The sequence below is a fragment of the Homo sapiens genome, chromosome 4 (genome assembly GCF_000001405.40).
Source record: "Homo sapiens chromosome 4, GRCh38.p14 Primary Assembly".
Taxonomy (NCBI): Eukaryota; Metazoa; Chordata; class Mammalia; order Primates; family Hominidae; genus Homo; species Homo sapiens.
The window spans coordinates 70,430,108-70,446,078 of record NC_000004.12 but is presented as its reverse complement, the minus strand read 5'-3'; the positions used below and the strand labels follow the sequence as shown (position 1 = coordinate 70,446,078).

General features: G+C 37.7%; 1 protein-coding gene across 1 annotated transcript in view; it reads right to left on the bottom strand.

Moving 5' to 3' along the window:
• The window catches only part of MUC7 (mucin 7, secreted), a 52,506-nt gene extending 36,919 nt beyond the window's left edge, over window positions 1–15,587 (bottom strand). Inside the window, exon 1 of the mRNA NM_001145006.2 lies at window positions 15,392–15,587. The gene's annotated coding sequence lies outside the window, so the exon portion shown is untranslated. The remainder of the gene's footprint in view (window positions 1–15,391) is intronic.

The window sequence follows — 15,971 nt, the reverse complement described above, 5'->3', positions numbered from 1 at the left end:
GGGACCTTCCTCCCAGATCTCTTAGAGTCCCATCAGCCCCTGTGCTTGGGCATCTTCCAGCCCAGGAGAAACAGAAAAACAAATGAGTGAGTGGCCATGAGATGATGCCTGTCTAATTGATTCATTTGAACATACAGAGAGAAGGTCATGTCTGGGGTGAAGCATTTTCCTCAAAGAAAAGATAGCTGCTCCTGATGAAACTTGGCAGTTGTTCCGTTGTACATTCATTCTCCTTGAAAAACTGTGTTGTGACTCAGTGAGTCAGATTGCTGGAATATGCAAGTTAGGTTTGCATCCAGCTTTCATTCCCTCAACTAATACCTTTCAGCAATTGGTGGTGTCTATTATACGAACCTCTTTTTTTGTTTCCATGGAAGCATTGTTGTCTTACTTAGACAAAGCTCAGACTGGGTTGGGATTTATGTGGATGGGTTTCTCAGAATGACCCTATCTCCAAGTGTTTTCCAGTTAGAGGTGGTTTTGGCCTAGTCTGGAGGACTAGGTGCTGTGCTGAGCACCTAGAGTGGTGCTGGAGAGAAGACATTATTAAATAGGGGAGAGATTTTGAAACATGATTTCTATTGAATAAGTGGTGGATAAAATAGTATCAAAGGAATTTATATGAATTATTTGTGCTGCTTACATAATCTTCTATGGCAGACTCATAATCTTCTATGGCAGACTCATAATCAAATGTAGTGTCATAAAATGTGCTGGGGCAATTGTTATAGCATCATTAGTTTTGTTTAATATACCAGCTGGAGCAACAGTTAGTGGAGTTGTGGTTTCAAGGAAGGTAATATGAAGTACGGAGGAGGCAGATGTGGCTGAGGGCAATAGATGAAGTTGTGCCAGACACAGTTGTGATCATTGATACAATGGTAGCTGGTGTCATGGGAGGAGTATGGTGGAGGCTGCAGGTGTGGTATTGATGGCAGCAGGTATGGTAAACAGAGCAGTTGAGGGAATGAAAGTTCGTTTGGTTTCAAGGGGAACAAAAGTGTTTTGTTTTTGTTTGTTTTTGTTTTGTTTTGTTTGTTTGTTTTTTAGACAGAGTCTCTGTCACCCAGGCTGGAGTAGAGTGGTGCAACCTCCTCCTCCCAGGTTCAAGCGATTCTCTTGCCTCAGCCTCCCAAGTAGCTGGAACTACAGGCGCATGCCCCCACACCTGGATAGTTTTTGTATTTTTAGTACAAATTGGGTTTCACCATGTTGGCCAGGCTGGTCTCGAACTCCTGACCTCAGGTGATCTGCCCACCTTGGCCTCCCAAAGTGCTGGGATTACAGGTGTGAGCCACCGCACCTGGCCCAAAAGTGTTCTTGATAGCATTTTTGATACTGATAGTAGTAGAATAAGTACCAGTATATGATATGGTATTGACAGCTGATGTAACTGCAACAGGGATTATATAGAGACAGTAGAAATAGATGTTGAAAATATGGTTGTTTTAGGTTCAAGATAATCAGTGGCTATAAAAAAAGATGCATCATCAATTGCAGTGGTGTCAGAAGCGACCATTTCAGTATTAGATGGGGAGGTTGAGTCAAATCGGGTGGCTGCAAGTGCAGTGGTGGTAGTGGCAGATAGAGCTGAAGTAGAGGACTGGGTAGTAGGGGAAGGTGTTGTGATAGTTGTAAGGAGTAGGCTAGTGTTGGTCACTCTCAATGTGGTAGAAGCTGAAGTAGTGACTTGTGTTGTCTTGACAGCAGCAGTGACCACGGGTGTTGTGGCCTTTTCCACAGATTTGGTTCCTAAGGAAGAGGGGATGGGGATGGATATAGAAGCAAAATACCCAGTGGAAGCAGGTGTGGAAGCTGATGGGTTTAAAGCATCAAATGTCATATTTCCAGGTGTTTTATTGGAGGCCACCGTGGTGTCAAGAGGTGAGCTGACAGGAATCTCATCTGTGGAAGGAACATCAGATAAGGTAGCTATAGCCTCAGATATGGACTTTGTGGAAGATTTAGCATTGCAAATGTCACAATATTTGTGGAAGTGGTTGTAGTCGATCTTGTAGCAGTGGTTTAAGGCTTGTGGATGGGAAATTTGGTGATAAATGAGGGTCAGTTTGGCTGCTGTGAAACTGGAAGATGTTGATGTCCAGTGGATTTGGGCTTACAAGAAAGAACTGGATTATGTCGTGGAAAGTGAGTTTTGTTTTTCTTAAATGGATTTAAATGAGGTTTGTATGAGCCAGCTTTCTGTGGAAAAGCTTTTGGTTTATCAGGATTCCTGTGTGAAAGACAGTTTAGGTGTGATTTTGGTTTGCCAAGTTTTTTTTTGGACCAGTCTCTGCTTCTGATATTGTTGTTTTGTGTGCTAATTATTTTCATCTATAAGTTTTTGCTTGAGTTTTTGAGTGGGTAGGTTGTTTTATTTTAGTCATTTTTGTACCACATCTTCTTGGTTAGTTTGCTGTGGAAGACAGATTTTTGTTTGTCTTGATCTTTTTCCCGGATTTGCACTAATATTAAGTTTTAACCGCACAAAGTGTGGTTTTGACTTGCTTCGAAGCTGACCATTTTGTTTGCCAGTCGAAAATGAAACAGGTTTAGGTTGATATGGGTTTTGTTGCTTGTTGGTACTGGATTGAGATTTAGATTTCCTTGGTAGTATTCTAACAGCTTTGTGTGGATAATATTTGATAGTGTGAGATCTTTTGTTAGGGGGTTGAGTTACTGTGATTTGGTTGTTGGTGGCCACTTTGTTGTGTTGGAGATTTTAGCGCAGGATTTGATTGGCTGTTTTTTTTTTAAGGTAAATTCTTTTTGTGTTAGGTTGTTCTTTTACATATTTATTTCCCTGTTGCCTAGATCTTTTTGTCTGAGATCTTGATTTTTTTTTTTGGCCAAATTAATGAGTTTGGCTTAATTTTGATTTGAGAATTTCTTCAATTAATGGAAAGAGATTTGAATTGATCTAATTTAGGGTGAATATAAACATCTGGGTGTTTTAGATTTTTTGGTGAACTTCAGTGAAGATTTTCCTGGGTGAGGTTTAGCAGATCTGGAACTTGTTTTAAGAAGTAAGTTCACATGAGTTTGGGGATGAAAGAAGACTTCCTTGTTGGACAGGGAAAATTTGACTAGGATTCATCTCGGATCTCCTGGAAGCAATAGAATTTAAATGACTTTGAGAGACCATGGATCTTTTGACTAGATGGATTTGATTGAAGTCTAATGTGACCAGTTTTAACTGAAGAAGGTACTTGCTGATGTGAAGCTGGTCCTTGAGAAGAAAGATTTTGTAATAGTCTAGTTTTTGGCTTATTTCTCTTGTGTCCCACTTGACTGCAAAAAGAAAAATGAAAACATTAAGCACATATAAGATGGCAAGAACTGCCTTCAAGCCCAGGCAAAAGGGATCCCTCATCTGGGTCTTGAAGTTTAGAGATCCTTATTTTGGCCCTCATGTGGCCATAGAGGGCAAGAGGAGTAATCACCAGGAGATTTTCTTTCTCTATCCCTGAGTTCACTTCCAGAAAGTGCAAAAGCCTCTTCCTTGGGTTCATCCTACAAATGGTGACCATGCTGCTACTGTGCATATGTACCCCTAGGCTGGAGGGGAAATTGAGGAGGATGTTTGGCCTGGAGTATACACATTTGTTTTCACATGACCACTGTTGGGGTGGTGGGGAGGGAGGGAGGAGGAGCCAGGGATGAGAGGAGAAGCAGGTGGGCTGCAGGCCAGGGGCCAAGACCTGGCTCATTATTACTCTGCCACCTTCTGACAAAGAATTCATGAGTCTGAGAATCCTAAATGCACTTTTTTTTGCTTCTGTTTTTCTTTGATTTTTCTACAATACACTTGTATTACTTTATCATTAGGAGAAATGCAAAAAGAGTATGTTGATGCTATTTGAGAGGTTGAGCTGTACATATACGAACCCAAAGTATGATAGCATTTTTGTTGTATAGAAAATATAGTGTTTACCAAGGAGATGAACTCATGCTTAACTCAGTTGGCCAAGGCTGTTAGGAATGAGCTCCCTCAACTTCTTGAATTTCTAAATATCTTTGTATCTTTTCAATCCTAGTTTCTTTGTCCTGAGGACTTGGTTTTGTTCAAGGTCCTTTCGCTGTTCCACATTTTTTTGAATCTTCCTGTCTAGAGTTGTATTCACTCACCTTAATGGGCTTCCTTTAAGACAGTATATTTTCTTTGAATAACTGGGTATTGACTAAAGGTCACCACTCAATTGTATTAATAGGTGCTCCATTAACCACTAAAATAAACTGAACTAAAATGGATGGTAGGCCTAAAGGACAAATTGTCTTTTTCATCATTCAGACTATTTTTTTGCAATAGTTTTGGATACTGAGATCTACTTTGTCAACCCAGATTGCAGCCTTACGGTGAATTTTAACTCAATTATTTTCTTCAGTCTACTTTTAGTTTACAACTTAAAGCTGCAAATCCATCCTTCTCAATGCCTTTCAGAAGCATCTTAACTTTTCTATATTTCACACTTCTTTGCAAATATAAGCTAAGGGATTAACCATTTTTTTGTTTGAGAGAAAGACAGAATATTCACCATCATAGTTTTTATTAAAACCTCTCCCTCCATATATAGATGCTGCCACCAATCTTTCTTCACCCATTGATTTTTCTCATTATTGCTGATACACTATTTTAAAGATACTCTCTTTTCATTATGAAACTCCCTGCATGAGTTATAAGTATTTCCGATATAGTGGAGTTATCAATTCCAGTATTTTCATCCTAACATTTTGGGTCATTTAATGGTTGTACTCATGTGCATATTATAGGCCTTCTTTCATTAGCATTATCATCCCTATGTGATAAGATATTTATATAATAATAAAGTTCTTAAACAAGAATGTTGACTACATTTATAGACAACATATGTAATATTAAAAAGGTAACTGGACTGAAAGATATATGGAGGTAGGGATATAATCTGTCTGCTTCTCTACTCAATTTCCAGAACCTATAAATACATGTAATACCACACAATAAAAATTATTGAATCAAGTTTAATAGCTGATATACTTGGGTTTATTCCAATCTTTATAGTTTACTCTTTGGAAGCTCTTAAAATGCTTTAAATTAGTTGCATATATTAATAATTTTTTTCTGCCTCCCAACTTCCATGAGCTCCCCTCACCCCACCTGTCCTGGGCCCACTGTTTATGTTTCCAAATGTTTAGCATGCCTTATGTTTCTCAAAATGTATTTTGAGGGAGCATGTCTTTTTCCTACAAGGGATGTGCTGTTAATTTTCCTTCTTCTCATCCATTCTCTTTCCCTCCCTTTTTCCTCTATTTTGTTTTTATTCTTTCTATTTTTCTGTCTCCCTCCATTTTTAAATTATGTTTTGAATTGATGTCCAATAGATATACATATTTTCAGGGTACATGTGATAACCTAATACATTAATAAAATTTGTATAGATCAAATTAGTGTAATTGGGATATCCATTACCTTAAATGTGTCTTTTCTTTATGCTAGAAACATTCAAATTATTTTCTATCTATTTTGGAACATATTATTATTATAAACTATAGTCACCTTACTGATCTATCAAATGTTAGGTTTTATTTCTTCTCCTTTTGTTTTTGTTTTCTTATTTATCATTTACGTACTGTTGCTTTGTCCTGGGCAGAGTGTTAGATGCGGGGGAATTCAAAGATGTACAAGACAGATATGATGCATGTGCTCATGCGGTATAAGTTGAGCATTGATAATGAGAAATATTATTGTATATTCCTCCACTGGAGCATGAAATTCATATGACATTTTAAAGATGCTGAGAAATTCTGCAGCTAAATCAAAACAAAAAAATTAATGTTTCTGTTCTATTTCTAAAGCTATTTGACTCCAGGAACTTTTAAAAATTAAGTTTTTATGTAATATAATATTATGCAGATATAATAGTATATGGAACATGCATCAGAGAAATGAGAGGAAACAACATAAACCTATGCTGAATATTATTTTAAATTATACTTCCTTCTTTCCATATATGTGCATCTCTAGGTATTTCACATTCGAGATGACATATATGGTGACCTCTTTTTATATATGTTAGGACTAAGAAATGAATAATAATAACTAATGCTGATAGTATCTTGGAGTTAAAAAATAATTTTCTGATTTATCAAAACAGAGTTTCTGGTCATAGTTTTGTTGTGAAGATAAACTCTATTAAACATCACATTAAAACTTTTCAAAAATTTCTAAAATAAGTGAAATTTAACTGCTAAAATGTTTAAAGATATTAAACATAATAATTTTTAAATTCTAATGAATTATCAATTAGCATGTGTGATTAACAAAATGCATTTCATTCATATAGTGCTTTTAAATTTTCACTTCTAAACAGTCTTATTTGATTGAAATAATACATATAAAATTACTGAAATTAAGATAAGAAACCATTGTACAATAGGTCCATGGTGATTATTGAGGAAAAGTGTGAACAAAATCATAACATAACACTTTAAGATAAATATTATATTATTATAAATGTATAAACATATTAATGTGTACTTTTATTTAGAAATATGATGTTCAGTCTTACTAGGTATGATGAACTAAATGATGTGGCCTCCATTACTACCTAACCTCTCGACTTTCATTTTGATCCCCTATAGCCTATCTCCAAACAGGAGGCAGAGTGCTTTTAAAAACAAAAGTCGGGCACCAAATCCCCTGCTTAAACTTCCCAGTGGGATCCCATTGACTTCTGAATGAAATCCAGACTTTTTGCCACCACTTAGAAGGTGCTAAAGGAACCAGCTCGTACCTTATTCTCCCTCACAATCACTCACTTCCAGATTCTGACCTGCTAAGCTTCTTCCCTCCTTGGTGGACTTTTGTCTAGAATTCTCTACTCCAATATCATCACTTGGCTGTTATTTTTTCTCTTTTTATTCAGCTTAAATGACATCTCTTTAAAAAGGCTTTTTGAAACACCCAATCTAAACTAGCCTTTTTAATCTCTATCATTTCACCCTATTTTAGTTCCCATAGTTTATTTTTATCACTGTCTAAAACAATTTCTTTATTTTGTTTCTTGTGATTTGCCTCCCTTCTTTATGAAACTAGGCTCAGTGAGAGCAGTAACTCTCTTTCTTTTCTATGCTGTATTTCCAGTTCTTTGAACAGTGCCTGCCACATGATATGACTTTGATAAATGTATGTTGAATGCATAAATCAATTGTTTACCTTGTATTAGTGTCCCTTGAATATAACCTGGAGTAGGTTTATTAATTCTTATTGGAAAAAACATTTAGATTCTTATATCTAGAGTGCAGACTTTTAGAGTATCATTTTGATCTTAGAAACTTCATTTCTGGCCAGGTGCGGTGGCTCATGCCTGTAATCCCAGCACTTTGGGAGGTGGAGGCGGGTGGATTATCTGAGGTCAGGAGTTCAAGACCAGCCTGGCCAACATGGTGAAACCTCATCTCTACTAAAAAATACAAAAATTAGCCAGGTGTGGTGGTGCATGCCCGTAGTCCCAGGTACTTGGAAGACTGAGGCTGGAGAATTGCTTGAACCTGGGAGGCAGAGGTTGCAGTGAGCCGAGATTGCGCCACTGCACTCCAACCTGGTGACAGAGTGAGACTCTGTCTCAAAACCAAACCAAACCAAAACAAAACAAAACAAAACAAAACAAAACTTCATTTCCTGAAGTGTTAAGTTTTCTATTTCAGGGCTAATATTTTCCAGGAGTTATCAAACAAACATCAACAGTCTTTAAGAATTTGAGCTTTCTTTATGATAGTTATTATTTTTGTGTTGTAAAAAGGTGAAAGAAAAAAACAAATGCAGTTTATTATATTGCAATGTCTGGACTTTTGGTTGGGGATGATGTTGATCAGTACCCTGTGGTTACCTATTCAGAAATGGTAATAAATGGCACCTGGACAGAAATGAAGTTTCTAAGATCAAAATGATACTCTTTTGAGGTTGTAAGCCTTTCCAGTACATGAGCCATTACTTACAGCTTGAGTAGCTTACAGATAGAAGGGATAGTGCTGTTCTACATTCCACATGATTTTCAAAAACAACCAGGCCTGGACAGGCATTATTAGTTATATTCTTTTAAAAATTATTTATAGTATCCAAAGCTAGCTCTTTATATATGGACATCTATTCAAGATCTGCTCAAACTCTATTTTCTTCATGAACCTTTCCAGGACTTAGTGAGGGTAAAGAATAGATTTTTTTAAAAGCAGCTCCCTGGAGTCACTTCCAAGGTAGCCAAATAGGAACAGCTCCAGTCTACAGCTCCCAGCGAGACTGATGCAGAAGATGGTGATTTCTGCATTTCCAACTGAGGTACTTGGTCCATCTCATTGGGACTGGTTGGACAGTGGGTACAGCCTACAGACAGTGAGCTGAAAGAAGGTGGGGTGTCGCCTCACCTGGGAAGCGCAAGGAGTCGGGGAATTTCCCTTTCCTAGCCAAGGGAAGCCATGAAGTGACTATACCTGGAGGAACAGTACACTCCTGCACAAATACTGCACTTTTACCATGGTCTTCCCAACCAGCAGACCAGGAGATTCTCTCCTGTGACTGTCTCAGTGAGTCCCACGCCCATGGAGCCTTGCTTGCTGCTAGTACAGCAGTCTGAGATCGACCTGGGACGCTACAGCGTGGCGGGGGGAGGGGCATTTGCCATTGCTGAGGCTTGAGTGGGCAGTTCTATGCTCACAATGTAAACAAAGAGGCAGGGAAGCTCAAACTGGGTGGAGCCCACTGCAGCTCAGCAAGGCTACTGCCTCTCTAGATTCCACCTCTGGGATCAGGGCATACTTGAACAAAAGGCAGCAGACAGCTTCTGCAGACTTAAACGTCCCTGCCTGACAGCTCTGAAGAGAGCAGTGGTTCTTCCAGCACGGCATTCCAGCTCTGAGAACAGACAGACTGCCTCCTCAAGTGGGTCCGGGACCCCTGTGTAGCCTGACTGGAAGACATCTCCCGGTAGGGGCTGACAGACACCTCATACAGGTGGGTACCCTTCTGGGATGAAGCTTCCAGAGGAAGGATCAGGTAGCAATATTTGCTGTTCTGCAGCCTCTGCTGGTGATACCCAGCAAACAGGGTCTGGAGTAGACCTCCAGCAAACTCCAACAGACCTGCAGCTGAGGGGCCTGTCTGTTAGAAGGAAAACTAACAAACAGAAAGAAATAGCATCAACATCAACAAAAAGGACATCCACACCAAAACCCCATCTGTAGGTCATCAACATCAAAGACCAAAGATAGATAAAACCATAAAGATGGGGAGAAACCAGAACAGAAAAGCTGAAAATTCCAAAAACCAAAACGCCTCTTTTCCTCCAAAGGAACACAGCTCCTTGCCAGCAAGGAAACAAAGCTGGACAAAGAATGAGTTTGACGAATTGACAGAAGTAGGCTTCAGAAGGTTGGTAATAACAAACTTCTCTGAGCTAAAGGAGCATGTTCTAACCCATTGCAAGGAAGCTAAAAACATTGAAAAAAGGTTAGACGAATGGCTAACTAGAATAACAAGTGTAGAGAAGAGAATGACCTGATGGAGCTGAAAACCACAGCATGAGAACTTTTTGAAGCATACACAAGCTTCAATAGCCGATTTTATCAAGCGAAGGAAGGGTATCAATGATTGAAGATCAAATTAATGAAATAAAGTGAGAAGACAAGACTAGAGAAAAAAAAGTGAAAAGAAATGAACAAAGCCTCCAGGAAATATGGGACTATGTGAAAAGACCAAATCTACGTTTGATTGGTATACCTTAAAGTGATGGTGAGAATGGAACCAAATTAGAAAACACTCTTCAGGATATATCCAGGAGAACTTCCCCAACCTAGCAGGCAGGCCAACATTCAAATTCAGGAAATACAGAGAACACCAGAAAGATACTCCTCGAGAAGAGCAACCCCAAGACACATGATTGTCAGATTCACCAAGGTTGAAATGAAGGCAAAAATGTTAAGGGCAGCCAGAGAGAAAGGTTAGGCTACTCACAAAGGGAAGCTCATCAGACTAACAGCAGATCTGTGGGCAGAAACCCTACAAGCCAGAAGAGAGTGGGGGCCAATATTCAACATTCTTAAAGAAAATAATTTTCAACCTGGAATTTCATATCCAGCCAAACTAAGCTTCATAAGTGAAGGAGAAATAAAATCCTTTACAGACAAGCAAATGTGAAGAGATTTTATCACCACCAGGCCTGCCTTACAAGAGTTCCTGAAGGAAGCACTAAACATGGAGAGGAAAAACCGGTACCAACCACTGCAAAAACATGCCAAAGTGTAAAGACCATTGATGCTAGGAAGAAACTGCATCAATTAATGTGTGAAATAACCAGCTAGCATCATAACGACAGGATCAAATTCACACATAACAATATTAACCTTAAATGTAAATGGGCTAAATGCCCCAATTAAAAGAATAGACTGGCAAATGGGATAAAGAGTCAAGACCCATCAGTGTGCTGTATTCAGGAGACCTATCTCACATGCAAAGATATACATAGGTTCAAACTACAGAGTTGGAGGAAGATCTACCAAGGAAATGGAAAGCAAGAAAAAGCAGGGGTTGCAATCCTAGTCTCTGATAAAACAGACTTTAAACCAACAAAGATCAAAAGAGACAAAGGAGGCCATTACATAATGGTAAAGCGATCAATTCAACAAGAAGAGCTAACTGTACTAAATATATACACACCCAATACAGGAGCATCCAGATTCATAAAGCAAGTTCTTAGAGACCTACAAAGAAACTTAGACTCCAACACAATAATAATGGAGACTTTAATACCCCACTGTCAATATTAGATCAACGAGACAGTAAATTAACAAGGATATCCAGGACTTGAACTCAGCTCTGGACCAAGTGGATCTAATAGACATCTACAGAATTCTCCACCCCAAGTCAACAGAATATACATTCTTCTCAGCACCATTTCACACTTATTCTAAAATTGACCACATAATTGGAAATAAAACATGCCTCAGCAAATATAAAAGAACAGAAATCACAACAAACTGTCTCTTAGACCACAGTGCAATCAAACTAGAACTCAGGATTAAGAAACTCACTCAAAACCGCACAACTACATGGAAACTGAACAATCTGCTCCTGAATGACTACTGGGTACATAATGAAATGAAGGCAGAAATAAAGATGTTCTTTGAAACCAACGAGAACAAAGACACAACATACCAGAATCTCTCGAACACAATTAAAGCAGTGTGTAGAGGGAAATTTATAGCACTAAATGCCCACAAGAGAAAGCAGGAAAGATCCAAAATCGACACCCTCACATCACAATTAAAAGAACTAGAGAAGCAAGAGCAAACACTTTCAAAAGCTCGCAGAAGGCAAGAAATTATTAAGATCAGAACTGAAGGGGGTAGAGACACAAAAAGCCCTTCAAAAAATCAATGAATCCAGGAGCTGGTATTTTGAAAAGATCAGCAAAATAGACTGCTAGCAAGACTAATAAGAAAAGAGAGAAGAATCAAATAGATGCAATAAAAAATGATAAAGGGGATATCACCACCTATCTCACAGAAATATAAGCTACCATCAGAGAATACTATAAACACCTCTATGCAAATAAACTAGAAAATTTAGAAGAAATGGATAAATTCCTGGACACATACACCCTCCCAAGAGTACACTAGGAAGAAGTTGAATCTCTGAATAGACCAATAACAAGTTCTGAAATTGAGGCAATAATTAATAGCTTACCAACAAAAAAAGTCCAGGACCAGATGGATTCACAGCTGAATTCTACCAGAGGTATAAAGAGGAGCTGGTACCATTCTTTCTGAAACTATTCCAATCAGTAGAAAAAGAGGGAATCCTCCCTAACTCATTTTATGAGGCCAGCATCATCCTGATACCAAACCTGGCAGAGACACAACAAAAAAAGTTAATTTTAGGCCAGTTTTGCTAATGAACATTGATGCAAAAATCCTCAATAAAATACTGGCAAACTTAATCCAGCAGCACATCAAGAAGCTTACCCACCAAGATCAAGTCAGCTTCGTCCTTGTGATGCAAGGCTGGTTCAACATAAATCAATAAACGTAATCCATCATGTAAACAGAACCAATGACAAAAATCACATGATTATCTCAATAGATGCAGAAAAGGCCTTCGACAAAATTCAACAGCCTGTCATGCTAAAAACTCTCAGTAAACTAGGTATTGATGGAACATATGTCAAATTAATAAGAGCTATTTATGACAATCCCACAGCCAATATTATACTGAATGGGCAAAAACTGGAAGCATTCCCTTTGAAAACTGGCACAAGATGGGGATACCCTCTCTCACCACTCCTATTCAACATAGTGTTGGAAGTTCTGGCCAGGACAATCAGGCAAGAGAAAGAAATAAAGGGTATTCAATTAGGAAAAGAGGAAGTCAAATTGTCCCTGTTTGCAGATGACATGATTGTATATTTAGAAAACACATTGTCTCAGCCCAAAATCTCCTTAAGCTGATAAGCAACTTCAGCAAGTTCTCAGGATACAAAATCAATATGCAAATATCACAAGCATTCCTATACACCAATAACAAACTGAGAGAAAATCATGAGTGAACTCCCATTCACAATTACTACAAAGAAAATAAAATACCTAAGAATACAATTTACGAGGGATGTGAAGGATCTCTTCAAGGAGAACTACAAACCACTGCTCAACAAAATAAAAGAGGACACAAACAAATGGAAGAAATTTCCATGCTCATGGGTAGGAAGAATCAATATCTTGAAAATGGCCATACTGCCCAAGGTAATTTATAGATTCAGTGCTATCTCCATCAAGCTACCACTGACTTTCTTCACAGAATTAGAAAAAAACTACTTTAAATTTCATATGGAACCAAAAAAGAGACCCCATAGCCAGACAATCCTAAGTAAAAAGAACAAAGCTGGAGGCATCATGCTACCTGACTTCAAACTTTACTACAAGGCTACAGTAACCAAAACAGCATGGTACTGGTACCAAAACAGATATATAGACCAATGGAACAGAACAGAGCCTTCAGAAATAATACCATAGATCTACAACCATCTGATCTTGGACAAACCTGACAAAAGCAAGCAATGGGGAAAGGATTCCCTATGTAATAAGTGGTGTCGGGAAAACTGGCTAGCCATATGTAGAAAGCTGAAACTGGATCCCTTCCTTACACCTTATTCAAAAATTAATTCAAGATGGATTAAAGACTTACATATTAGACCTAAAACCATAAAAACCTTAGAAGAAAACCTAGGCAATACCATTCAGGACATAGACATGGGCAAGGACTTCATGTCTACACCAAAAGCAATGGCAACAGAAGCCAAAATTGACAAATGGGATCTAATTAAACTAAAGAGCTTCTGCACAGCAAAAGAAACTACTATCAGAATAAACAGGCAACCTGCAGAATGGGAGAAAATTTTTGCAATCTACTAAAGGGCTAATATCAAGAATCTACAAAGAGCTTAAACAAATTTACAAGAAAAAAACCCCATCAAAAAGTGGGCAAAAGATACGAACAGACATTTCTCAAAAGAAGACATTTATGCAGCCAACAGACACATGAAAAAATGCTCATCATCACTGGCCATCAGAGAAATGCAAATCAAAACCACAACCAGATACCATCTCACACCAGTTAGAATGGCGATCATTAAAAATTCAGGAAACAACAGGTGCTGGAGAGGATGTGGAGAAATGGAACACTTTTACACTGTTGGTGGGACTGTAAACTAGTTCAACCATTATAGAAGACAGTGTGGTGATTCCTCAAGGATCTAAAACTAGAAATACCATTTGACCCAGCCATCCCACTACTGGATATATACCCAAAGGATTATAAATCATGCTGCTATAAAGACACATGCACAGGTATGCTTATTGTGGCGCTATTCGCAATAGCAAAGACTTGGAACCAACCCAAATGTCCATCAATGATAGACTGAATTAAGAAATTGTGGCACATATACACCATGGAATACTATGCAGCCATAAAAAAGGATGAGTTCATGTCTTTTGTAGGCACATGGATGAAGCTGGAAACCATCATTCTCAGCAAACTATCATGAGGACAAAAAACCAAACACTGCATGTTCTTACTCATAGGTGGGAATTGAACAATGAGAACACTTGGACACAGGAAGGGGAATATCACACACCGGGGCCTGTCGTGGGGTGGGGGCAGAGGGGAGGGATAGCATTAGGAGATATACCTAATGTTACTGACGAGTTAATGGGTGCAGCACACCAACATGGCACATGTATACATATGTAAGAAACCTGCGCGTTGTGCACATGTACCCTAGAACTTAAAGTATAATAATAAAAAAATAAAAAAATTGAAACCCATAATTTAAACCAGACTTACCCTCAAAGCTGTGAAATTGGTTAATAAGTGCATATTCATCTAATGTTACTACGGTTGAATAAGAAATAACATTTATGTAATTCCAATGAAAACTACAACTGATTAAATCAAATGTTATTGCCTAAAGAATTGTGATATAACCTTGATCTGGAAACAGTTTCAGTTTTCTCTTTTAAAACATTATATACTTCTAGAATAGTTGTATATTCATCTCCCACCCCCCCAAAAAAAACCCACTAGTAGGAATGAAAATCATATGCTCTTAAATTCATGAAAAATACCCTCTGACTTCATCTACCATGAACTCTTTGTGTTTGAAGATGTTTATTGTTTGTATCTGTATTCCCAACACAGAGCACATTGTCTTGTGTAAGGTAAGCACTAAACACAGTTTTGTTGAATTGACTCTATAAGGCAAATAAAAGCCTTTTTGGCCTTGTTACAAATGAAAAAAAAGTAAATACAATACAAAGAAAAAAGTCTATTGTAAAAACATTTTTCTCATATGTTCTTGGTTTCATGGCATCTAAGACCTTATCTAGGGCAAAGCTGTTTTTCCCCCTGGAGATCAAAGATTTTTGTGGTCTTTTTTTCTTCTTATTTGGAGTTTTTCTTAGCCAAAATGTAAGTAAACTAGATATAACCATTACATACTGAAAAGTAGCATACAGCTCCCCATACAGTGAATTATTTTAGGACTAATGTCAGATAGACAGGAAATATCACTAATGTTAAAAAATTATTTGCCAGTAGAAGAGAAAATCAAGACATGGTAAATTAGGAAGAATGTGGAGTTCACTAGTATTAGTCCTATGAAATCTCATGAATTTTTTGTCATACTGTTAAATTACATTGAAGATTAGAAAAATAAAATAGCATTACTAACCATATTTTAATCTAGAAGAACATTTAGAAATGCTGTTCTACCAGTGGATTTTTACAGTAATCATTAGAAATGCAATGCTTAAAAAAATAACCTTGATTCTCTATTCAAAAGTCTTAATTTGTGAATTCCCAGGTACCTACCTTTGAAGGAATCCTTCCTCCAAGTCTGGTCAAACTACTTGTCAGTTGAATTCTTGTTAGTTACTGTGTCTAGGCATTTTGGTAGCCAAGAAGCAACTTAAAATCTAAGGTGGCAAATAAGAAGGATCAGTAAGAGAACATTTCTTATAGCCTTCCTACTAGATTCTTTTAGGAATAGGAAATACTGTAATTGAGTAAAGGTCATGTGTGGATTGAGGCTTTTATACCAAGAATGGTTGGTTGTTTGTTCAGTTGACAGTTGTCCTTTGTACCTTGATTACTTCCTGAGAAACAGTGGATTGTGTCTTAATATGCATATTTTCCTCTGGTTAAGTATGTGCTCTCAATAGAAGTATCTGTGTCGATTATTTTTGGGGTCATAGTAGACTCACTTGCTAATCAATAGAAATCAGGCTAGCTAAAAATATCCCTACGCATATGAATGAAATCACATGTTAATACATTTGAGACTATAAAATAATTAATAAAGGAAATTACAAAATATTTATAGCTGAATAAAAGCGAAACACAAAAAACCAGTATTTATGGGATACAAAGGGAAATGCAACTTCTAGCTCTC